Below are 25,292 nucleotides of genomic sequence, written 5' to 3'. Positions count from 1 at the left end.
AAAAAGAATCCTATGTCCAAATACAGTCACATTCTGAGGTTCTGGGGGTTACAAGTCCAACATATGAATTTGGAGGTGGTGGGGGGAAGCTGATTAATTTCATAAGGGGGGTCTTGAAACTGCCTTCGCAGAAATGTAAGTAATGAGAGAAAGCTAACATGACTGACCATCTTGTTTCTAACCTCACAGGCTAGATTTTTTTTTCTTATTCTAGTGCAGAGGCCAAAATTACCATGAGAGGAATTTAATTCATAGTTAAACTTTGAGACAAAGAAAACTGACCCCCAGTCCTTGTTGAGAGATTGAAGCCACATTCATTTACTTTTTATTTATTTATTTAGTTTTGAGACAGAGTTTCACTCTTGTTGCCCAGACTGGAGTGCAATGGCATGATCTCTGCTCACTGGCACCTCCACCTCCTGAGTTCAAGTGATTCTCCTCCCTCAGCCTCCTGAGTAGCTGGGATTACAGGCGCCCGCCATCATGCCCAGGTGACTTTTGTACTTTTAGTAGAGATAAGGTTTCACCATGTTGGCCAGGCTGGTCTCCAACTCCTGACCTCAAGTGATCCTCCCACCTCGGCCTCTTAAGGTGCTGGGATTACAGCCATGAGCCACTGTGCCTGGCCTGAAGTCACATTCATAAGACAAGGTTAGAATCATGAAGGTGCTGGAACTTTGCTAAAGAACAGTCGTGGGTTGAAGAATGACCTGCCATCCCTTAGCTTCCTTTTCTATATGTGCTCCAGAGTCACGTAACCAGGGGTCGCATGATTTATAACTTCCCCAGCTACTTCTATAAATAATATCACTGTCGTGAAACACAGAACTCAGCTTTTTAGTGGGGTGTGGTAGCTAACACCTGTAATCCCCACTTCTTGGGAGGCTGAGGCAGGAGGATTGCATGAGCCCGGGAGAATGAGACCAGCCTGGGCAACATAGTGAGACCTCAATCTCTACAAAAAAATTAAAACTTTGCCAGACGTGGTGGTGCATGCCTGTAGTCCCAGCAACCCAGGAGGCCAAGGCAGGAGGATTGCTTGAGCCCAAGAGTTGGAGGCTGCAGTGAGCTATGATTGCGCCACTGTAGGGACCAGCCCTGCAGGGTCTGTGGGTCTTTCTCCCCATGTGCGGAGACGAGAGATCGTAGAAATAAAAACACAAGACAAAGAGATAGAAGAAAAGACAGCTGGGCCTGGGGGACCACTACCACCAAGACGCAGAGACCGATAGTGGCCCCAAATGCCTGGCTGCGCTGTTATTTATTGGATAATAAGGGGCAGAGTAAGGAGTGTGAGTCATCTCCAATGATTGATAAGGTCATGTGAGTCACGTGTCCACTGGACAGGGAGCCCTTCTATGTTAGGTAGCCAAGGCGTAGAGAGAGAGGATAGCTTATGTCATTATTTCTTTTATGTTCTTTTCAGAAAGATCAAAGACTTTAATATTTTAATACTTTCACTAATTCTGCTACTGCTATCTAGAGGGTGCAGCCAGGTATACAGAGTGGAACAGGAAAGTGAAACAGGAGTGTGACCACTGAAGCACAGCATCACAGGGAGATGGTCAGGCCTCTGGATAACTGCGGGCGGGCCTGACATCACTCAGGCCCTCCACAGGAGGCGGTGGAGCAGAGTCTTCCCTAACTCCCCCGGGGAAAGGGAGACTCCCTTTCCTGGTCTCTAGGCACTGACGCAACCGCTAGACCAAGGTCCGCTAGGCAATGGGCATCTTCCCAGACGCTGGCGTTACCCCAAGACCAAGGGGCCCTCTAGTGGCCCTATTCGGGCATGACAGAGGGCTCACACTTGTCTTCTGGTCACTCTTGACCTCAAGTGATCTGACTGCCTCGGCCTCCCAAAGTGCTGGGATTACAGGCATGAGCCACTGCTCCTGGCAATAATGTTTCGTTTTGTTTTTGTTTTAAAAAAAAGAAATTGTCTTTGAGATAGTTTTCAGAGTGAGCATTTTGGCAGACCAAGAGCTACCACCTGGTCCTGAGACCCGCTCCCAGGAACTGACTCAGCTATACAAAGATAGTTTTGGACACACCTGTGATTTCATCCATAGCCGATCAATTGTTCCCTCAGCCCCTTGCCCACCAAAGTTTCCTTAAAAAACCCTAGTCTCAGGTCGGACGCGGTGGCTCGTGCCTGTAATCCCAGCACTTTGGGAGGCCAAGGCGGGTGGATCACCTGAGGTCGGGAGTTCAAGCCCAGCCTGGCCAACATGGAGAAACCCCATCTCTACTAAAAATACAAAAATTAGCCGGGCATGGTGGTGCATGCCTGTAATCCCAGATACTCAGGAGGCTGAGGCAGGAGAATCGCTTGAACCCGGGAGGCGGAGGATGCAGTGAGCCGAGATCATGCCAATGCACTCCAGCCTGGTCAACAAGAGGGAAACTTCATCTAAAGAGAGAGAGACAGACAGAGACAGAGACAGAGGCAGAGAAAGAGAAAGAGCGAGGAAAAACCCTAGCCTCCAAATTTTCAGAGAGACGCGCTTGAAATATTTCTCCCATTCTCCTCGCTTGGCCGCCCCTGAGATTATTAAACTCTCTCTCTTTGCTGCAACACCTGCTGTTCGCATTGGTTTTGTCTGGGCAGTGGACAAGGAGAACCCATGAGCCCGTGACAGTCCCAGCCCTCCCCCACTGTCTTTGCTAAGCCCAACAGTGGGCACAGGACTAAGAAGAGCCATTTCTTTGGCAGGAGGACTGAGAATTTTCTGACCGCAGTGCACCATGGGAAGGTAAGTCCTCTTAGAGCTGACCACTATGGGGAAGCAGAGCATTTGTGTAATGGAATGCATAGTGAGTGTCAAGAGGTGAGGGCTGTGACAGTTCCTCTCGCTTGGTGGAGATAGATGGAAAGAGCTGAAGGTTGGGCATGGTGGCCCATGCCTGTAACCCCAGCACTTTTGGTGGCCGAGGCAAGAAGATCTCTTGAGCCCCAGAGTTCGAGACTAGCCTGGGCAACATGGTGAAACCCTATCTCTACAATAAAAGAAAATATTTTTAAAAATTAGCCAAGCATAGTGGTACACACCTGTAGTCCAAGCTACTTAGGAGGCTGAGACATGAGGATCACTTGAGTCCCGGTGTTCAAGGCTGCAGTAAGCTATGATTGCACCACCGCACTGGTGGTGGGCAACAGAGCAAGACCCTGTCTTATTGTTGAACCGGGGAGGTGGAGGTTGCAGTGAACTGAGATTGCGCCACTGCACTCCAGCCTGGGCAACAGAGCGAGACTCTGTCTCAAAAAAGAGAGAGAGAAAGAGAAAGAAAGAAAGAAAGAAAGAAAGAAAGAAAGAAAGAAAGAAAGAAGGGAGGGAGGGAGGGAGGGAGGGAGGGAGGGAGGGAGGGAGGGAGGGAGGGAGGGAGGGAAAGAAGGAGGGAAGGAAGGAAGGAGGAAGGAAGGAAGGATGGAAGGAAGGGAGGGAGGGAGGGAGGGGAGGGAAGGGGAGGGAGGGAGGGAGGGAGGGAGGTATGTCACCATGTTGGCCAGGCTGGTCTTGAACTCCTGGGCTCAAGTGATCCACCCACCTCACCCTCCCAAAGTGCTGGGATTACAGGTGTGAGCCACCGCGTCTGGCCCCAAAATTAACCATTTTGAAAAGTGAATAATTGACTGGCATTCAATGCATTCACAGTGTTGTACAACCATCACCTCTATCTAGTTTCAGAATATTTTCCTCACCCCAAAAGGAAACCATGTACCCGTGGGCTGGTGGCTACCTGCTTGGACAGCCCAGTTCTAGGTCAAATTCTGTGTTTTATCCCTTTTCCCTGTGAATTTTCTGGACTTCTTTGTGTTTTCTCCTGGGAAGCTCTGAAGTTTCCATAATTCCTGGGCTCCAGAAAGAAGAAAAGGCGGCCGTGGAGAGACGAAGACTTCATGTGCTGAAAGCTCTGAAGAAGCTAAGGATTGAGGCTGATGAGGTAAGTGAGGGGAGGAGGGTGGCCCCAGAGATCCCAGAATCGCCCCCTCTGTGCCCAGTGTCCAGGGCCCAACTCAGCCAGGGAGAGCTGGACCGAAGGATATGAACTTCTATGGGATAGAAATAGAAGGATATGAACTTCTATGGGACAGGCATTGCCCCTGCCTAAGGGAGATCCTAGGTCTCCTCCTTCTCCTCCTCCTCCTTTCTTTTTCTTTTCTTTTCTTTCTTTTTTTTTTTTTTTTTTTTTTGAGACAACGTCTCGCTCTGTCACCCAGGCTGGAATGCAGTGGCATGATCTTGGCTCACTGCAACCTCCACCTCCCAGGTTCAAGCTATTCCCCTGCATCAGCCTGCTGAGCAGCTGGGATTACAGGTGTGTGCCACCACACCCAGCTAATTTTTGTATTTTTAGTAGAGATGGGGTTTTACCACATTGACCAGGTTGGTCTTGAACTCCTGACCTCAAGTGATCCACCTGCCTCGGCCTCCCAATGTGCTGGGATTACAGGCGTGAGCCACGGTGCCCGGCCCCAGGTACCCTTCTTCTTGTTCCCACCTCCATCCTCAGGCTCTAAACCTCTGATCGATTTTCTCCCCAATGCCTAGGCCCCAGTTGTTGCTGTGCTGGGCTCAGGCGGAGGACTGCGGGCTCACATTGCCTGCCTTGGGGTCCTGAGTGAGATGAAAGAACAGGGCCTGTTGGATGCCGTCACGTACCTCGCAGGGGTCTCTGGATCCACTTGGTAAGCATCACTCATGTTTCAGATTGCTTTCTGACACATAAATGGGATTATTTTTTTCCTCCTGACACCAAATGTGTGTGGTTTTTTCCAACGCTGCTTCTCGAGCTCTCTGGTACTAGCTGGGTGTCCTACAATTCTGAGCAATTCTGACGCTGGCTACCTGGAGTTCACATCAGATTCCACAGGTGAAAGGGGCTCAGTCCCAAAAAACTGCTCCCACTTCAGACACGAGTTGCAATTACCTAGCCGCTGGTGCTTCTGACCGACTGGCAATAGTTTGGGGTTTCCCACAGCTTCCGCCTCATGTTCAATAATTTACTGGAATAGCTCACAGAACTCAGGAACACACTTTACTTACAATTGCTGGTGTATTACAAAAGATGGGCCAGGTGTGGTGGCTCACGCCTGTAATCCCAGAACTTTGGGAGGCTGAGGCAGGAAGATCGCTTGAGTCTAGGAGTTTGAGACCCAGGCGGGGCAACATAGCAAGACCCCATCTCTACAAAAAGTGAAAAAATTAGCCAGGCGTGGTGGTGCATGCCTATGGTCCCAGCTACTCAGGAAGTTGAGGCAGGAGGATTGCTTTAGCCTGGGAGGCTGAGGCTGCATTGAGCTACAATCACACCACTGCACACCAGCCTGGGTGACAGAGAGACCCTGTCTCAAAAAAAAAATTTTTTTTTTCTAAAAAAGAAAATTCCAAGGGTTTTAGGAACTCTGCACCAGGAAGCAGGGGAAAACACCAAGTATCTTTCTTTGCTACACAAAGCCATGGACAAAGCATAATAATACTACCTTCTGACATTAAAGGAGGATTTACATGTTCAGGTGCACTTTTCACACTGCAGGTGGATAGAATACAGCCCTTTTAACTTATCAGCCTCTATGATAAAGTATTGCATTAATCCGTGTAGGACTGTCTCATTCAGGAGGCCCCAGATGGCAGGTATGAAACACTCATGTCTGCATGTTTGTTGCCAAGCCCAGGGCAGACATGACTAATCGATCTTGGCACATTTTCAGAGCAGGAGGTAAGGCTAGGCAGAGCAGCAGAGGCTCGAGTGTGAGATAGGCAGGGCAGAGGCATGAATGTTGAGCCTGGCTGGCCTGATTTGTTTTCATTTCTGTGCTCAAAGTTTGATCTGGAGCTGGGTTCTGAGCTGGATGTGGAGGATGAGGTTCCTGGAGGCGACAGCATGAAGAGCAGAGCTGCAGAGCTTGGGAGTGGGAAAGGTCCTGCAGAGTCACACCGGACCCCTCTATTCCTCCAAGGCTCATCTAACATGTTGAGTGACATGGCGTGGGGGTTTAGCTGTACTGCACATTGCAGAACTCCAGGGGGCGCTATTGAGATAGGAACCCCATGATTTCTTCTGGAATCTTTCCGAGACTGCTGTGGTTAAAAAGGCAGGCCTGGCTGGACACAGGGACTCACACCTGTAATCCCAGTACTTTGGGAGGTCGAGGTGGGAGGATCTCTTGAGCCCAGGAGTTCAAGACCAGCCTGGGCAACATAGCAAGACCCCATCTCTACAAACAACAACAACGAAAGCCTTATATTTCAACAGCTTTGGGTTAGTTCCTGGAGCTGTCCTTTGTGGGCTGTTACGAGCCCAGACATACTTCTTTGTGCCTTGGTTTCCTCCGCTGTTGAGCATTGTAAGTGTGGACGATGAAGACTGGGAAAGGATGTGTGTGAGGAGGTCCTTCACAGGAACGCCTGCCTCATGGAGAGGGCGACACACAGAGGAAATGGAAAATTTACATGAAATAAATATAACTGCAGAACGGTCAAGTTCAAAGGAGCACTCAAAATCATCTGGGACAGTCCTTCCATTTCACAGGCAGGAAAATGAGAGCACGATGGGAGAAAGGCCTCATCAGAGTCAAATGTTTTTTGCAGCCAGCATTTATTAAAGGTTTACATGTGACAGCAACAAACTGTGCTGATCTCACAGGGCTGTTTGAGAATTAAATGATGAAACACATGCAAATCGTCCCAACCTGAGCTATCAAGTAGAGCTATGTAACATGAGCCACATCTATTCTATCATTTTAAATTTTCTTTCTTTCTTTTCTTTTCTTTTTTTCTTCTGGAGACACAGTCTTGCTCTTGTCGCCCAGGCTGGAGTGCAGTGGCGCGATCTTGGCTCATTGCAACCTCTACTTCCCAGGTTCAAGTGATTCTCCTGCCTCAGCCTCCCAGTTAGCTGGGATTACAGACGCGTGCCACCATGCCCAGCTAATTTTTGTATTTTTAGTAGAGACGGAGTTTCCCCGTGTTGGCCAGGCTGGTCTCAAACTTCTGACCTCAGGTGATCTGCCTGCCCTGGCTTCCCAAAGTGCTGGAATTACAGGTGTAAGCCACCATGTCCGGCCCATTTTAAATTTTCTAGTAGCCTCTTCAAGAAGGTAAAAAGAAACAGTGAAATGATCCATTTTCTTTAACCCAATATATCCAAAACATTAGCATTTTGACACATCGTTAAGAAAAAAATTGTTAATGAGATATTTGACATTCCTTTTGTCAGACTAGGTCTTTGAAAGCTGCTGGGCGTTTTATACTGAGCGCATTCCAAGTTGGATGCAGAAGTCTCATTAGATGTTAAAGGAGGCCCGGGGCAGTGGCTCACACCTGTAATCCCAGCACTTCAAGAGGCCGAGGCAGGTGGATCACCTGAGGTCAGGAGTTTGAGACCAGCCTGGCCAACACGGTGAAACCCTGTCTCTACTAAAAATACAAAAATTAGCTGGGTGTGGTGGCACGCACCTGTAATCCCAGCTACTTGGGAGGCTGAGGAAGGAGAATCACTTGAATCCGGGAGGCAGAGGTTGCAGTGAGCCGAGCTCGAACCACTGTACTTCAGCCTGGGTGACAAGAGTGAAACTCCATCTCAAAAAAAAAAAAAAAAAGATATTAAAGGAAAGAACTTTTCATACCCAGCTTGTTCCAAACATACTTCAGAGTTTCCCAATAACTGAATGGAGTACCAGTGTTTAAATTTAAGCTAATTAAAATGAAATAAATATTTTAAATCATGCTAGCCACACTTCAGGGGCTCAAGAGCTATGATGTATGTTTAATACATTGGATGGTGTGAGGGTAGATAGCACCCGATAAGCAGCATTAAGAACATCAAAAATTTTTATTGAGCCCGGGCACGGTGGCTCACACCTATAATCCCAGCATTTTGGGAAGCTGAGGTGGGAGGATTGCTTCAGGCCACAAGTTTGAGACCAGCGTGGGCAACATAGTGAGACTCCATCTCTACAGAAAATAAATTTAAAAATGAGCAGGGCATGGTGATGCACCTGGTGGGTAGTGGTCCCAGCTACTTGGGAGGCTGAGGTGGGAGGATCATTTGAGCCTGGGGGTTTGAGACTGCAGTGAGCCAAGATCATGCCACTGCACTCTAGTCTGGGCAACAGAGCAAGACCTGTCTCAAAAAAAAAAAAAAAAATATATATATATATATATATATAGACTCTATGTGACACACCAGCTCCCTTGCCTTCTGCCATGAGTAGAAGCTTTTTGCACCATGCTTCTTGTACAGCCTGCAGAACTGTGAGCTAAATAAACCTCTTTTCTTTATAAATTAATATATATAATATATATTTATTGAGTGAACAAATGAATATAAAGTCTTTTTTTTCTTTTTTTTTTTCTTTTTGAGATAGAGTCTTGCTCTGTTGCCCAGGCTGGAGTGCAGTGGCGCGATCTCGGCTCACTGCAAGCTCAGCCTCCCGGGTTCACGCCATTCTCCTGCCTCAGCCTCTCGAGTAGCTAGGACTATAGTAGCTGGGTCTGCAACCACACCCAGCTAATTTTTTGTATTTTTAGTAGAGACGGGGTTTCACCATGTTAGCCAGGATGGTCTCGATCTCCTGACCTCGTGATCCGCACACCTTGGCCTCCCAAAGTGCTAGGATCACAGGCGTAAGCCACCACGCCCAGCTTTTTTTTTTTTTTTTTTTTTTTTTAGATGGAGTCACGCTCTGTCGCCCAGGCTGGAGTGCAGTGGCACAATCTCAGCTCACTGCAACCTCCACCTCCCGGGTTCAAGCGATTCCTCTGCTTCAGCCTCCTGAGCAGCTGGGACCACAGGCGTGTGCCACCATGCCTGGCTAATTTTTGTGTTTTTAGTAGAGACAGGGTTTCCTGAGTATCCGGCACTAGAGGTACCCACCACCACGCATGCCACCACGCCTGGCTAATTTTTCTGTATTTTTAGTGGAGACGGGGTTTCACCATGTTGGCCAGGCTGGTCTCGAACTCCTGACCTCAGGCAATCCTCCCGCCTCGTCCTCCCAAAGTGCTGGGATTACATGCATGAACCACCACACCTGGCCCCGTTCATTGATTTTCTAGGATTATGTGAGTTAATAGGTATAAAAGACTAAAGACAGTTTGTTGCTGTCACATATAAACCTTTTAATAAGTGCTGGCTGCAAAAAACATTTGACTCTGATGAGGCCTTTCTCCCATCGTGCTCTCATTTTCCTGCCTGTGAAATGGAAGGATTGTCCCAGATGATTTTGAGTCCTCCTTCGAACTTGATCGTTCTGCAGTTGTATTTATTTAATGGAAATTTTCCGTTTCCTCTGTGTGTCGCCCTCTCCATGAGGCAGGTGTTCCTGTGAAGGACCTCCTTGCACACATCTTTCCCCAGTCTTCATCGTCCACACTTAAAATGCCCAACTCACTCTCTTCCTCTGTCCTCCAGGGCAATATCTTCTCTCTACACCAATGATGGTGACATGGAAGCTCTCGAGGCTGACCTGAAACATCGATTTACCCGACAGGAGTGGGACTTGGCTAAGAGCCTACAGAAAACCATCCAAGCAGCGAGGTCTGAGAATTACTCTCTGACCGACTTCTGGGCCTACATGGTTATCTCTAAGCAAACCAGAGAAGTAAGTCATTCCCAGCTGGGGACCTGGGGTGGGGGTAGGAGCAAGGGGTCTCAGGGTGTGGGGTTACCAAAGATGCTGACCAGCACCACCTTTTAAGTCCTTCAGGATTTTCAAGTCATCAAAATCTGGGCACTTCGGTTGATGCCTCAAAACTAAAGTATATCAGGATTACTGTGGTTGCAAGTGACAGAAATTGACTCTGATTCGTTTATGCAACAAATAAAGTGATATGATTTACTAGAAAGATACACAGACATCCAGGGCAAGAAGAACAATGAGGACTTATGATGGAATAAGGCAGAAATAGGGAAAGTGTCAGACCCAAGACAACTTTCCTCTCCATCTCTGCTTGGCCATTTGATGTCTTGAATTCACTATTTTATTTTATTTCATTTTATTTTTGAGACAGGGTCTTGCTCTGTCACCCAGGCTGGAGTGCAGTGGCGAGATCATGGCTCACTGCAGCTTCGACCTCCTGGGCTCAAGCAATCCTCTTGCCTCAGCCTTTTGAGTAAGCTGGGGCAACAGGCATGCACCATCGTGCCTGGCTAATTTTTAATTATTTTTTTTTTTGTAGAGACAGGGATCTTGCTATATTGCCCAGGCTGGTCTCAAACTCCTGAGCTCAAGCAATCCTCCAACTACTGGGTTCAAGTGATCCTCCTATCTCAGCCTCCCGAAGTGCTGGGATTACGTGTATGAGCCACTGCATCCAGCCTATCCTAACACATCGGGTTTTTGTTGTTTTTTGTTTGTTTTGTTTATTCTTGAGACAGGGTTTCACTCTGTCGTCCAGGCTGGAGTGCAGTGGTGCAATCACAGCTCACTGCAGCCTTGACCTCCTGGGCTCAAGCAATCCTCTCAGCTCAGCCTCCCAAGTAGCTGGGACTACAGGCACGCACCACTGGGCCTGACAAATTTTTTTTTTTTTTTTTTTTTTTTTTTTTTTTTTTTTTTAGAGATAGGGTTTCGCTTTTTTGCTCGGGGTGGTCTCCAAATCCTGGGCTCAAGTGATCCTTCCACCTCAGCCTCCCAAAGTGCTGGGATTATGGGTATGAGCCACAGCACCTAGCCTATCCAAGCACTTTGGGTGGCTGAGGCGGGAGGATTGCTTGAAGCCATGAGTTCGAGACCAGCCTGGGCAACATAGCAAAAGCCTGTCTCTATCAAAAAATAAATTAGCCGGGCATGGTGACATGCATCTGTAGTCCCAGCTACTTGGGAGGTTGAGGTGGGTGGATTGCTTGAGCCCAGGAGGTTGAGGCTGTAGTGGCCCATTATTGTACCACTGCACTCCAGCCTGGGTGACAGACTGAGACCCCTCTAAAAAAAAATGTGGCCTACGTGCAGAGGTTCCACCCTGTGGGACCCACATGCCTCCCTCACACTGTCTTGGCACCTTCTCCCAAAGCTGCCGGAGTCTCATTTGTCCAATATGAAGAAGCCCGTGGAAGAAGGGACACTACCCTACCCAATATTTGCAGCCATTGACAATGACCTGCAACCTTCCTGGCAGGAGGCAAGAGCACCAGGTAAGCAAACATTTAGAGGGAGGGAGAGGTAGTAAGGGATGGAACAGCACGGAGTGGAATGGAAGAATGTTTCCCTGCCCTCCCCTTGGGGAGCCCAGGAAGAGGGAAGGGCTCAGGATTGCAGAAAACAGGGTGCTCAGCTTAGACGAGAGAAGAGGGAAGTCCCAGAAGTGACCAGAGGACATGCACTTGCTTTGCATGGATCAAGAAAACCTTTAAGAGGCCAACATGGTGGCTCACGCTTGTAATCCCAGTGGTTTGGGAGGCTGAGGTGGGAGGATCGCCTGAAACCAGAAGTTGGAGACCACCCTGGGCAACATAGTGAGATCCCATCTCAAAACAACAACATTAAAAAACAAAACAAAACAAAAAAACACAATAAATTAGCCAAGCATGGTGGCAGGAACCTGAAGAATCTACCCAGGAGACTGGGGCAGGAGGATCACTGGAGCCCAGGAATTCAAGGCTTCGGTGAGCTGTGATTGCACCATTGTACTACAGCCTGAGTGACAAAGTGAGACCCTGTCCCCCCAAAAAGAAGAAAGAAAAAAGAAAACAGAGGAGAGGAGGGACAAAAGACAAAAAGGGGCCGGGCGCAGTGGCTCACGCCTGTAATCCCAGGACTTTGGGAGGCCGAGGCGGGTGGATCACGAGGTCAGGAGATCAAGACCATCCTGACTAACACAGTGAAACCCCGTCTCTACTAAAAATACAAAAAATTAGCTGGGCGTGGCGGCGGGCGCCTGTAGTCCCAGCTGCTCGGGAGGCTGAGGCAGGAGAATGGCGTGAACCCGGGAGGCGGAGGTTGCAGTGAGCTGAGATCGCGCCACAGCACTCCAGCCTGGGCGACAGAGCAAGACTCCGTCTCAAAAAAAAAAAAAAAAAAAGAAAAAAGAAAAAAGTAAAGAAAACTGTAATAAGGGATGTTTGAAGGATGGCGGGGTGGGTGGGTGGGGCTGTCTCTCACTTTTTTTTTTTTTTTTGAGACGGAGTTTCTCTCTTGTTGCCCAGGTTAGAGTGCAATGGCACGATCTCGGCTCACCACAACCTCCGCCTCCCAGGTTCAAGCGATTCTCCTGCCCCAGCCTCCCGAGTAGCTGGGATTACAGGCATGCGCCATCACGCCCAGCGAATTTTGTATTTTTAGTAGAGACGTGGTTTCTCCCTGTTGGTCAGGCTGGTCTCGAACTCCTGACCTCAGGTGATCCACCCGCCTCGGCCTCCCAAAGTGCTGGGATTACAGGCATGAGCCACCGCACCCGGCCATCTCTCACTTTTTAGATGTCTTCCTTCTCCATAGGTCCGATTATCACCCAAATGCTGGCAGCTCTCCAGACATTCCAGTTTCTCTTTTGAGCTCATCTCTCTCCTGAGATCCAGACCTCCTTACCCTATTTCCTAAGCATAAAATGCACTCACTTGTTCAGCAACTGTGTCCTGGTAAGTTCTCACGATACATCAGGCAATGTTACCAGTTACCTGTGGTTGGGCGTCTCCTGGCATCTCAAGGCTCAGAAGCCCCCAGTGTGAATGGTGTTTGTCTGTTTGTTTGTTTGAGACAGAGTTTTGCTCTTGTTGCCCAGGCTGGAGTGTAATGGCACGATCTCGGCTCACTGCAACCTCTGCCTCCCAGGTTCAAGTGATTCTCCTGCCTCAGCCTCCCAAGTAGCTGGGATTATAGGCATGCACCACCACGCCTGGCTAATTTTTGTATTTTTAGTAGGGATGGGGTGTCACCATGTTAATCAGGCTGGTCTCGAACTCCTGACCTTAGGTGATCCACTCACCTCCGCCTCCCAAAGTGCTGGGATTACAGACGTGAGCCACCACGCCCGGCCATGAATGTTTTATCTCTCTCCTCGGTGTGGATCCTTGTGCTGTTTTCTCACCAGAGCAGATACAGCTGACTCCGTCCTTTCCATAAGCCCCACAAATTCAGTCATTCCCAGACCTAGAAATCACCCCCTCCTCATTTTCATCCTTTGTGCTCTTCTACATCATCCCCAGACCAGGTCTCCCAGTCTCCTGGGAGACTCTTGTAATTAGTTCCTCACTGGCCCGCCCATCCCAAGCTGTCCACCTCCTTCCCTGGCTACCTGATGGAAGTTTCCAGGATGAAAATCTGATCATGTCATTTTCTTCCCTGGAATATTCTAATGACTCACATTGGAATCATGCATTAGATTTATGCCCACAGACAATCCTCCATGCAATCGTGTGGCTACACTCTTCCCTTGCACTCCAGGATTCCATGGAGTTGCAGCCACAATGAGATGGAAGAGAGAGGCAGGGCTGAGGGTTCAAGCTCTGGAAAATATTGGAAACAGGCTGCTGTGGAAGTTATGAGCTGCCACCAGCAGCGTAGACTCAGGTCTGAGGATGAGATCCCCAGTGGTTTCTGATACCACACAGTCCATCTCTAACATTCTCCTGTCATGGTTGTAATTCCTCATTAATAGATTTCTTTTTCCTGCATACCTGCTACATTCCTGGTTCTGTGCTGGGACTCACTTGCCGTTGTATTTCCTCTGCAGAGACCTGGTTCGAGTTCACCCCTCACCACGCTGGCTTCTCTGCACTGGGGGCCTTTGTTTCCATAACCCACTTCGGAAGCAAATTCAAGAAGGGAAGACTGGTCAGAACTCACCCTGAGAGAGACCTGACTTTCCTGAGAGGTCAGCGCTGGGGTCAGAGGGGATTAAAAGGGGGTGGGAAGTGGAGGAGAGGCAAGAATTTTCCTTCTGAGGGTCTAGTTTGCCCAGCTCTTAAATTTCTTGGGGGAAAGAAAAGGACTTGGTAGGCTTCCAGAAAGAGGAATGGTGTATTCCTTCTGCTGAGTCTTCAGTGTCTCTCAAAGGTCTCCTTAATGCGGCAGATACCTGATATCCTATCAAACAATCCAGGAGAGGGAGCTTAATAGAGGGGCTCAAGTCCAGGGCTGTGGCTTCCAATAAGCAGATTCAGAATGTGTTTGGGATTACATGGTGCTTTGGGAGGCTGACCTGGGAGGATCCCTTGAGACTGGGAGTTTGAGACCAACCTCGGCAACATAGCAACACTGTGTCTCTACACAAGATTTAAAAATTAGCCAGGCATTGTGGCATGTGCCTGTGGTCCCAGCTACTCAGGAGGCTGAGGCAGTGGAAGGATCACTTCAGCATGGGAGTTCAAGGCTGCAGTGAGTTATGATCGCCCCACTGCACTCCAGCCTGGATGACAGAGAAAGATCTTGTCTCAAAACAAACAAACAAACAAACAAACAAACAAAAAACTAGAATGTGTTTTGGGCACCAGCAAAGCAAGGGGCATACAATTTTTTTTAAATGGGGTATTTCCAGAAAAAATTACAACAAAAACCAAAAACAAAACAGTCATAGTGAGTAAAATCAGAACTTGATTAAATGTCCTTGACTGTAGCTTACACACTGGTATCACTTTTAGTTGTGGCTTCATAATCTTCTCAGCATTCAGGGTCTGAAGGCATTACCCTGCTGGGCAGACAGCTCCCCTACATAGGACCAACCATGCCAGCTTGAGAAAGTCATTAATGTTACCTGAGCCTCGTTTTTCTCATAGGGAAAGTACTTACCTCAAAATGTGGGTGTGAGAGTTAGGTATGATCCACAAATAAAACACTCAGCCCAGTGTCCAGCACATGGTAGGAAATTAAGGATGGTTGACTCTCCATGATTTTAGCATACACTTTTGAGACACACTAGGAGCCTGATACTATTTTAAATGCAGGGGATTCAGTCATGAGCAGGACAGTGAAGGCTCATTCCCTAATGAAGTTTGCACTCCAGGGAAGGAGATGATGAATGAACACACACAAAAATAAGTATGTATTATAATGTCAGATCATAGTAAATGCTATCTTGAAAAATAATTCATGGTAAGGGACTGGAGAGTGACTACAGTATTATTTTTAATTGGTGGTCAGAGCTTCTGACAGGAGATGGCCTTTGAGCATGGACCTGATGAAAAGTGAAGCCATGCAGATATCTTAGAGGAAAAGCATCATGGACAGAGGGAAGAGCAAATGCAGAGACCCTGTATTAGTCCGTTTTCATACTACTATAAAGATACTACCCGAGACTGGGTAATTTGTAGACAAAGGAGGTTTAATTGACTCACAGTTTCACATGGCTGGGGAGGCCTCAGGAAACTTACAATCATGGCAGAAGGTGAAAGGGAAGAAAGAACCTTCTTCAAGTGGTAGCAGGAGAGAGAAGAGCAAGCCAAAGAAGAGCTGCCCAACACTTATCAAACCATCAGATCTCGTGAGAACTCACTCGCTATCACGAGTACAGCATGGGGGGATCTGCCCCCATGATCTGATTACCTCCCACCAGGTCTCTCCCTCAACATCTGGGGATTACAACTCGAGAGATTTGGGTGGGGACATAAAGCTTAACCATATCAGACCCTAAGCCAGGACCAAGTTTGTCTTACTCTAGAACCAATGAGAAGACCAGTGAGGCTGGAGCCTCCTGAATGAGGCTGAGAGAGAGGGCTAGAGAGGTAGGCAGGGTCCAGATCATATGGGACCCTGAAGGACACAGATGAAGTTTAGTTTGGATTCCAAGTGCGATAGGAGAGCCAGGGAGGCAGTTTAATTAGGGTGGTGACCGATTCAGTTTATATGGTAAAACATCTCACTCTCTCTCTCTCTCTCTGAGCATGGATTAGGGGTGGGTGTGTAAACTTAGAAGTTGGGAGCAGTTGAGAAGCTAATGGTCCTGGTGACAGATAATGGCAGTTTAAGGTTGGGTACCAGAATGGATATGGGAGGGAAGTGGATGGACTCTGGAAACCTGGAGATGGATGAAGAAGAATTACACCTGGATTGGATGTGGAGAGTAAGGAGAATCAGAGATGACATCAAAGGTTCCAGCTTCTGCAACCTGGTAGATGGAGGGGTGTTCTCAGGGGAGGAGAACAAGGTAGGATGAAGGGGATCTTCCCCTTTTCTCTGGTCTGGACAGACGGGGTCCTTCACATTGCCAAGCCTGGCTCCTGTCTCCTATCCCCACCATCTCTTTGCTAAATCTGGTCTTGGGCATCAGAGATTTTGAAATTGTCACTCCCAGGTACTCCCTATAACATTATTATTTCCTTAGATGTATGTATCACCTACTGAAGGGATTCTGTACGTGTATTTTATCCCTCCCCTCACACACCAGGGTGCTTTTTATTTATTATTATAAAATAAACATAACATAAAATTTGCCATTTTAACCATTTTAAAGTGTCAAGTACAGTGGTATAAATACAATACATTCATAATGTTGTGCAACCATCACTGCCATCCATCTCCATAACACTTTTCATCTTGTAAAACTGGAACTCTACGCCCATTGAATACTAAGTCCCTGTCACCCCCTCCCTTAGCCCCTGACAACCACAATGCTACCTTCTGCCTCTACGATTTTGACTACTCTGAGTATGACATGTAAATGGAATCATGCAGTGCTTGTCTTTTTGTGTCTGTCTGATTTCACTGAGGAAAATGACTTCGAAGTTCATCCATGTTGTACCATGTGTCTGAATTTCCTTTCTTTTTATGGCTGAATCATATTCCATTGTACGAATATACCACATTTTGCTTATCAATTCATCCATCGATGGACACATGGATTGCTTTCACCTTTTGGCTGTTGTGAAGGAACCTGCCATGCACATGGGTCTATGAATATCTCTTTGAGACCCTGCTTTCAATTCTTTTGGGTATATACTCAGAGGTAGAATTGCTGGATCATGTATGTGGTAATTCTACTTTTAAAATTTTGAGGCCAGGTGTGGTGGCTAATGCCTGTAATCCCAGCACTTTGGGAGGCCGAGGCGGGTGGATCACCTGAGGTTGGGAGTTGGAGACCAGCCTGACCAACATGGTGAAACCCCATCTCTACAAAAAATACAAAATTAGCCGGGCATGGTGGTGCATGCCTGTAATTCCAGTTACTCAGGAGGCTGAGGCAGGAGAATCTCTTGATCTCGAGAGGCGGAAGCTGCAGTGAGCGGAGATCGCGCCATTGCGCTCCAGCCTGGGCTATCTCAAAAAAAAAAAAAATTTTTTTTTTGAGGAACGACCATACCATTTTCCACAGTGGCTGTACCATTTTATATTCTGCCCAATGGTGTCCCAGGTTTCCAATTTCTCCACGTCCTCATCAACACTTATTGTTTTCTGGGGTTTTTTGGATACCAGCCATCCTAATGGGTGTGTCTATTTTTTTTTTTTTTTTTTTTTTTTTTGAGATGGAGTCTCACTCTGTCTCCCAGGCTGGAGTGCAGTTGTGTGATCTCTGCTCACTGCAACCTCCCAGGTTCAAGTTATTCCCCTGCCTCAGCCTCCCAAGTAGCTGGGACTATAGGTGCATACCACCAGGCCTGGCTAATTTTTGTATTTTTTAGTAGAGATAGGGTTTCACCATGTTAGCCAGGCTGACTTTAAACTCCTGACTTCAATTGATCCGCCCACCTCAGTCTCCCAAAGTGTTAGCATTACAGGCGTGAGCCACCGTGCCTGGCTGATTATTCATTTTTTATGTCTCCCTGTATCATATACAAATGTGTTTGGCTAAAAGTCACTAACCAACCACAGTGCCCCGAGGACATGTGGGATTAATTTTCTTACAAAAGAAAAAGACAGACTGAGCACCGTGACTCACAGCTGAAATCCCAGCACTGTGGGAGGCCGAGGCGGGCAGATCACTTGAGGTCAAGAGTTCAAGACCAGACGGGCCAACATGGTGAAACCCCGTCTCTACTTAAAAAATACAAAAATTAGCAGGGCGTGGTGGTGCATGCCTGTAATCCCAGCTAGTCGGGAGGCTGAAGCAGGAGAATCACTTGAATCTGGGAGGCAGAGGTTGCAGTGAGCCGAGATCACACCACTGCACTCCAGCCTGGGCAACAGAGCGAGATCCCATCTCAAAATAAATAAATAATACAAAGTTAGGTGGCTGGTGACATTGGTTTAGCTGTGCAACATTAAGCAGAAGGACCCAGGTTTATTCTAGATTTTCTGCTCCTCCATCCTTAGCATATTAAGTCACCCTCATGCTGAACTCCTCCACACCACGGGATGGCGGCTGCATCCAATGAAGCTGCAACTTTTTTTTTTTTTTTTGAAGTCAGGGTCTCTCTCTGTCACTCAAGCTGCCGTGCAAAAGCACAGTCATAGCCCAATACAGGTCTTGAACTCCTGGCCTCAAGTGATCTTCCTGCCTCAGCCTCCCAAGTAGCTGAGACTAGAGTTGCATGCCACCATACCTGGCCTGCTCCTTCTGAGAAGGAGAACAAGCACTTTGCAGAAGTCCCCCCAGCAGTGTGCATGGACCAGAGCTTGACCGTCCCCTAGCTGCAAGGGAGGCTGGGAAATATTTGCCCTTCCTGCCTGTGTGCTGAGAAGGGTTGGCATGGACAGGAGCTTGAAATGGCCTTGGGGTAGCCAGTCTACAGTGCCCGGCTGGCTCCACCCATAGAAGGTTCGTGAGGACAAGGACTTTATCTGTCTTGTTTACTGCTCTATTCCAACAGCCAGAAGAGTGCCGGGTGCCCACTAATTGCTTCATAAATATTTATGGAATGGAAGAAAGATCTTTCTTCCTGCTGCAGATCCCTGCAGTGCTTTATGCCAGTCTGCTGGTGCTTTGAATATCAAACATGACAGTCACGTGATGGAGAATGTTTGAATTTTATTGCTCTTTTCTTGGCAGGTTTATGGGGAAGTGCTCTTGGTAACACTGAAGTCATTAGGGAATACATTTTTGGTGAGTATTTGGGGAACAGAAAGGTCAAACCCTAGAGATATTTTATGCAAGGAGATTCACAGTACTTTTCCTACTCATGGCAGAAGAGAGACCTGTGTGTAATTGTTCTAGCAACTGCTTTTCCTGACATTTATTCTCATATAATTGGGCAGCCAGGATGACCACAGAGTGGATGAGAGTACAGACTCCCTTGGAAGGAATGTTGCTCTGGTACATGTAAGCTTTGTGACCTCCGAAAAGTTACTTAACCTCTCTGTGCCTCGGTTTCTGCCTCTGTGCCATGCGGGTGATAATAACAGTAGTTATGAATATTTGATGAGTTAATTCATTGAAAGCTTGTAGGACAGTGCCTGGTAGATAACGGCACTCAGTAAACATTAGCAATCATTACCTGGTCCCTCATTTAACATTTAACCCCTTTAATACCCTAAGAGGCAGACGCTTTTGTCCCTTCCATTTTGCTGAGATCCACCAAGTCGTGGGAAGGATGCGTGACTCACCCACACTGCTGGTCAGTGAGTGCAGACGCGGGGATCTATAGGAGAACTGGGTGGTGGATCTCTAGGGGAATAGTGTGGTGGTTCTGATCCAAAGCCTGTCTGCCTGGATCCACATCCCGGCTCTGCTTCTCCTGCACTGCTCACTCTGGAAAGCTGCTTAAATTCTCTGTGACCCAATTTCCCCTTCCTAAAATGGAGACAATAGTACGTAGTCGCAGTCTCGTATATTTGATGTGGGGTTTAAATGACCTCATGTATGTAAAATGCTTAGAGCCAAGCCTGACACATGGGAGTGTTTCATTACATGTTAATCTTATTTTTAGGATCATTACTGAGTTCACACCCTAAACCACTCGTCATTCATTTAATGTATATTCATGGGACCTCCTGTGTGCCAGGCACTGTCCTAGTTCTTACACTTTGACTTTTTTTGTTGTTTGTTTTTTTGAGACAGAGTTTTGCTCTGTTGCCCAGGCTGGAGTGCAGTGGTATGATCTCAGTTCACTGCAACCTCCACCTCCCAGGCTTAAGCAACTCTCCTCCCGAGTAACTGGGACTACAGGCGCGCACCACCGTGCCTGGCTAATTTTTGTATTTTTGGTAGAGACAGGATTTCACCATGTTGGCCAGGCTGGTCTTGAACTCCTGACCTCAAGTGATTCACTGCCTCAGCCTCCCAGTGTGCTAGGATTACAGGCATAAACCACCACGCCCGGGCTGATGTTGTTCTTTGACATTGGTGTTCACCATAGCTTGGTTAAAAACAAAACTAAAAAGGGAATCTATCTATATCCAACCTCCAAATGGCTAACTAAAGGTGTGAGATGGGTCTGAGTGTTACTTCTCCAGTGGGTCTGCTAAGCTTTCTCTCTAAAAAACAAAAACAAAATTCCTGATATGTAGTGTTTGCCAATTCCTGTGGTGTAAATGTTCCCACCGTGGCCAACTTCAGGCTACCAACATGAGGTCACTGAGCACAGAGTTGGAAGAGAGGTGCAAAATTGGCTCTCGAGAGCCATTGGCTGCCATTGGAGCCCATGGCTGCCATTTCTATTAATGAAATATCCCTGCAGGTCATCTGTATTTTTTATATTATAACTAGGGACTTTGTTGTACAGATAAACATTCCTCCTGCTTCTACTCTTTTGCAGACCAGTTAAGGAATCTGACCCTGAAAGGTAAGCATCCTACTTCATCATGAATCCCTGATGATAATGGGGACCGCACACTTGCTTGAGGCCAGCCATTGTCCTAGGAACATTACATGTATGATTCATTTGGTGCCCATTTGAATTCTTTATCTGGTATTTCAAAGATTTCATCTTGATTTGGATCTGTTGCTGGAGAGGTAGTGTGATCTTTTGGGGGTGCTGTAGAACCATGTTTTGTCATATTACCAAAGTTACTTTTCTGATTCCTTCTCATTTGAGTAGACTATTTCTTTTAATTATTCTTGAATTTATGTTGGATTTGACTGTGTTTTTTTTTTCTTTTTTCCGCTTAAGGATGTGACTTTAATGTCCCTAGCTAATTATAGCCTAATTTGGTCCTTGGTGCTTTCAGGGGTGAAGATTGTAAGAGTTCCTTGGATATAGGGAGTCTTCGTGTGATGGCTTTCTCATATGCTGGTTGTAGAAGCGATGTGCTCACTGTGTGAGCAAGTTCACTGTTGCCTACAGGGCTGGAATGGTAGAAGACTCTTGAAGCTTAACTCATTCCCCACAAGGCATGCAATTTTTTCCCCAGTATTTTATTGACTGGTTTGATGGTTCAGGCTTCAGGTCTGTAGGGGAGTGCATAGGAAGTGATTGTGGCCAAAACATGTGAGTAAATGCAACACCCAATGGTGAGCAAAGGTCCCAGCCTTGACAGAGGTGGCTGGAGGAGCTCTCAGTGAGTTGCATCGAGATTTTTTTTTTTTTTTTTTGAGACAGAGTTTGGCTCTTGTTGCCCAGGCTGGAATACAATGGCATGATCTCAGCTCACCCCACAACCTCCGCCTCCCAGGTTCAAGGAATTCTCCTGCCGCAGCCTCCTGAGTAGCTGGGATTGCAGGCACTTGCCACCATGCCCAGCTAATTTTGTATTTTTAGTAGAGATGGGGTTTCTCCGTGTTGGTCAGGCTGGTCTCGATCTCCCAACCTCAGGTGATCCGCCCACCTCGGCCTCCCAAAGTGCTGGGATTACAGCCGTGAGCCACCATGCCTGGCTGTGCACCGTGGTCTTATCAGGCAGAAGGGTTGGAGCCACCTCAGCTCCCCTGCCAGGTCAGCCAGAAAGCCATCCATCTCTCAGACACACTCGTGATCCAGTGCTCCAGCTATTCAGATCAGACGGGCACCTCTTTTCATCTGTAGGAATGTTGGTGTTCTGAGTAGAGAGGAACTGTGAATCTGTCTCTTATGCAAGCCTAAACCTAGAGGGGCTCCTCCTGTGGGGATGCAGTCGCCCTGATATGTTCCAGAAAGGCTGTCTATAGTTGTACCCATGCTGAGCTCCCATGGGAGAAACCCCAACTGTGCCTGTGGCAGTGGAAGAGAGGGGAAAGACATCCCCTTATCCAAGACCCTTCATGCACACCAGGGCTGTCTGATGGTTGGGTTAGAGCTGTGGGCTTTCCGTGCTGAGCCCAGCACTGAAACTGTGTCCCTGCTGAAAGAAACTTCCCACCAGCAGAAAGATCTGATTTTCAAGTCCTGCTGTCCAGATTCTTTTGTCCCATGGGGTGTTCCCTTGATGTGGTGCACTCCCCATTCCCCTAGGATAGGAGTCACTGAGCACCAGACTACAGTGAGTGTTATTGTTCCTCTGGGTCTAGCCACCCAGTGAAGCTGCCACACTTCAGGCTGGTTCTTGGGAATGTCTCCAAGGAATCCGGTAATGTCCCCTGTCCTCGAGACTCCCAGCAATGGGAAGCAGCACCAGCTCTAATGGGGGTGGCAGGAGAGAGACACAGGCTCTGTGAGATTCCTTGCTGATGGACAGCCTTAGTAGGTTGGCTTCCTTGAATGCTAGTTATAGTAGTAATGAACTGATCATGTGGACAGACTCAGGACCTCCTGGTTAGCCAGAGTGGTGCATGCAGTGGTGATAGCTGAGGACATAGAGCCATTTTCTCCTTCCTGGGCCCAGTGTTATCCTACCAGGAGATGCTGTCATGGACTGTGTTGGTTGGCCTCCACCCAGCAGGTGGAGCACCAGCTGCAGTAGTAGCAGTGGGATATTCACTTGCCCTATGTTGCCCAGGGTGGCTACTCTTGTTTCTCAGGCAATGGGCAGAGCCACAGAGTTCCCAAAAGTTTCCGTCCTTTGTATTAAAGCCACCAGGGCGGGTGGCAGGGCAAAGCCAGGTGTGGGCTGGGTCAGGCAGTTTTGTGCTCTAACTCTCCCTGTGCAGGGCAAGCAGCAGCTCCTGTGGGTATCAGGGGGTGGGGGTGGTTTTCAGACCCATGTGCTGATAATCCAGAGAGGAATGTTTCTGCCTCTGCTGCACAGAAGAGTTTGTGTAGGGAGTGGGGAGTGGCAGGTGGCAGTAAGCCCCACGCGGATCCCACACACTTGGCGAGGCAGATCCCCTCCCACCCTGTTCCACTGGCAGTGGTGAGCTAAGTTCCAGGCAGCCTGTGCTCAGAACTTGCAAATGCCCCCAAGTCATAAGCTTTCCCTGCAGAGATAGCAACCACTGCTCTCAGGCCATGCCCCTCCCCATCTATCCCACCTAGCCATGTGCCAGGGTCCTGCACACGTGTCTGCAGCTTGCTTTTCATTCACCCCATGTGGGTGGAGAAGTTCACCTCCACCCACAGTTATCTCATGAAACCCAGCTGGGGGCTTCTTTCAACCTGCGACCACCCACCTGAACTTTTTGGCTGACCACTGCAGGGTGCCCTGTGAGGAACAATAAGGAATGGCTTCCCTGGGTCCATACTGGGATCTGGGAGTGCATGCAGGGTTCTTCCCACAGCTCCTACTTATATTCCACGAACCTCCCCAAGTCATATCCTGCACTGAATAGGGTTAAGGCCTTACCCCAGAGACTGGACTTTCAGGCTCCCTGGTGTGGTGGGGGCGTGTGTCCTGCAAACAGTCTTTCCCCATCTCACACCCTGGGGACTCGCAGCCCTTCACTTGAGTCACAGTATAGGCTGCAGCCCGTCACTTCCTTCAAAGGGACTGTGGATTCCTTCAGATTTCCTGTCTAATTCCTGAATCACTTCTTGAAAAAAAAGTTCACAGTGTGAATCTCTACACAGTGTTTTGTCCTTCCAAGTGGGAGGGGTATGCCAGCAATGCCTCTAATCCAACATGTTTGCTGTCCTGCTCTTTCATAGTAGGACAGCTAGGACTTTCCAGAAGTGCCCCCATAAATCTGCATGGGCCAGAGCTTGACCTCCCTCTAGCTGCAAGGGAGGCTGGGAAATATTTGCCCTTCCTGCCTGTGGGCTGAGAAACGTTGGCATGGAAGGGAGCTTGAAATGGCCTTGGGGTAGCCAGTCTACAGTGCCCGGCTGGCTCCACCCATAGAAGGTTCCTGAGGACAAATCTGTCTTGTTTACTGCTCTATTCCAACAGTCAGAAGAGTGCCGGGTGCCCACTGATTGCTTCATAAATATTTATGGAATGGAAGAATGATCTTTCTTCCTGCTGCAGATCCCTGCAGTGCTTTATGCCAGTCTGCTGGTGCTTTGAATATCAAACATGACAGTCATGTGATGGAGAATGTTTGAATTTTATTGCTATTTTCTTGGCAGGTTTATGGAGAAGGGCTGTTGCTAATGCTAAAAGCATTGGACACCTTATTTTTGGTGAGTATTTGGGGAACAGAAAGGTCAAAGCCTAGAGATATTTTATGCAAGGAGATTCACAGTACTTTTCCTGCATGTGGCAGAAAAGAGGCCTGTGTATAATGGTTCTAACAACCACATTTCCTGACATTTATTCTCATACACTGAACATTGATTATGGGCAGCCAGGAAGACCACAGAGTGGATGAGAGTACAGACACCCTTGGAAGGAATGTTGCTGTGGTACATGTGAGCTTTGTGACCTCTGAAAAGTTACCTAACCTCTCTGTGCCTCAGTTTCTGCCTCTGTGCCATGTGGGTGATAATAATAGTAGTTATGAGGATTAAATGAGTTAATTCATCAAAAGCACATAGGACAGTGTCTGGTAGATAAAGGCACTCAGTAAACATTAGCAATCTGGCTGGATGCAGTGGCTGACACCCGTAATCGCAACACTTGGGAGGCTAAGGCGGGCGGATCATTTGAGGCCAGGAGTTCAGGTTTCTGATCCTGGCCAACAGGTGTGTGGAGCTGGTGCCTGCTACTTCCAGGCCTGGCTACAAAAGGCCTTCTGTGGCTCTCCAGCTCTCTCCTCTCATGGAACAGACAAGGAGACCTTGTGCCAAGAGGAGAAGCTCTTAAACCCAGGAGGCGGAGGTTGCAGTGAGCTGAGATCACACCATTGCACTCCAGCCTGGGCAACAAGATGCAAGCAGCCTGGCCCGGCGCAGTGGCTCATGCCTGTAATCCCAGCACTTTGGGAGGCCCAGGCGGACAGATCACTTGAGGTCAGGGGTTCGAGTGCAAGCTGGGTAACATGGTGAAAATGCGTCTCTACTAAAAATACAAAAATTAGCCAAGTATGGTGGTGCACGCCTGTGATCCCAGCTACTCAGGAGGTTGAGGCACAAGAATCGCTTGAAACCAGGAGGCAAAGGCTGCAGTGAGCTAAGATCACACCACTACAGTCCAGTCTGGGCAACAGAGCAAGACTCCATCACACACACACACACACACACACACACACACACACACACAAAATTGGCATTCGTTACCTGTTCATCATTTAACCCTTTGAATGACCTGAAGAAGTGGA

General features: G+C 48.0%; 1 protein-coding gene across 8 annotated transcripts in view; it reads left to right on the top strand.

Annotated features, from left to right (window-relative positions):
• Positions 1-25,292, top strand: part of PLA2G4C (phospholipase A2 group IVC) — a 62,972-nt gene that overhangs the window by 1,543 nt on the left and 36,137 nt on the right. For 6 of the 8 annotated variants that reach the window (XM_011527431.4, NM_003706.3, NM_001159323.2 and 3 more), the window contains exons 2-10: positions 2,714-2,753; positions 3,831-3,942; positions 4,551-4,687; positions 9,415-9,604; positions 11,016-11,136; positions 13,671-13,811; positions 18,858-18,911; positions 20,563-20,589; positions 24,163-24,216. In XM_011527431.4, coding sequence (XP_011525733.1) covers positions 2,746-2,753; positions 3,831-3,942; positions 4,551-4,687; positions 9,415-9,604; positions 11,016-11,136; positions 13,671-13,811; positions 18,858-18,911; positions 20,563-20,589; positions 24,163-24,216 — 844 coding nt within the window. In that variant the 5' untranslated portion in view covers positions 2,714-2,745. Of the gene's footprint in view, positions 1-2,713; positions 2,754-3,830; positions 3,943-4,550; positions 4,688-9,414; positions 9,605-11,015; positions 11,137-12,352; positions 12,577-13,670; positions 13,812-18,857; positions 18,912-20,562; positions 20,590-24,162; positions 24,217-25,292 lie in introns of those variants that run through there. The other 2 variants (NM_001159322.2, XM_047439585.1) reach the window with 2 other exon arrangements.

Source organism: Homo sapiens, chromosome 19, assembly GCF_000001405.40.
Source record: "Homo sapiens chromosome 19, GRCh38.p14 Primary Assembly".
NCBI lineage: Eukaryota > Metazoa > Chordata > Mammalia > Primates > Hominidae > Homo > Homo sapiens.
This window is presented reverse-complemented; position numbering and strand designations above follow the sequence as displayed.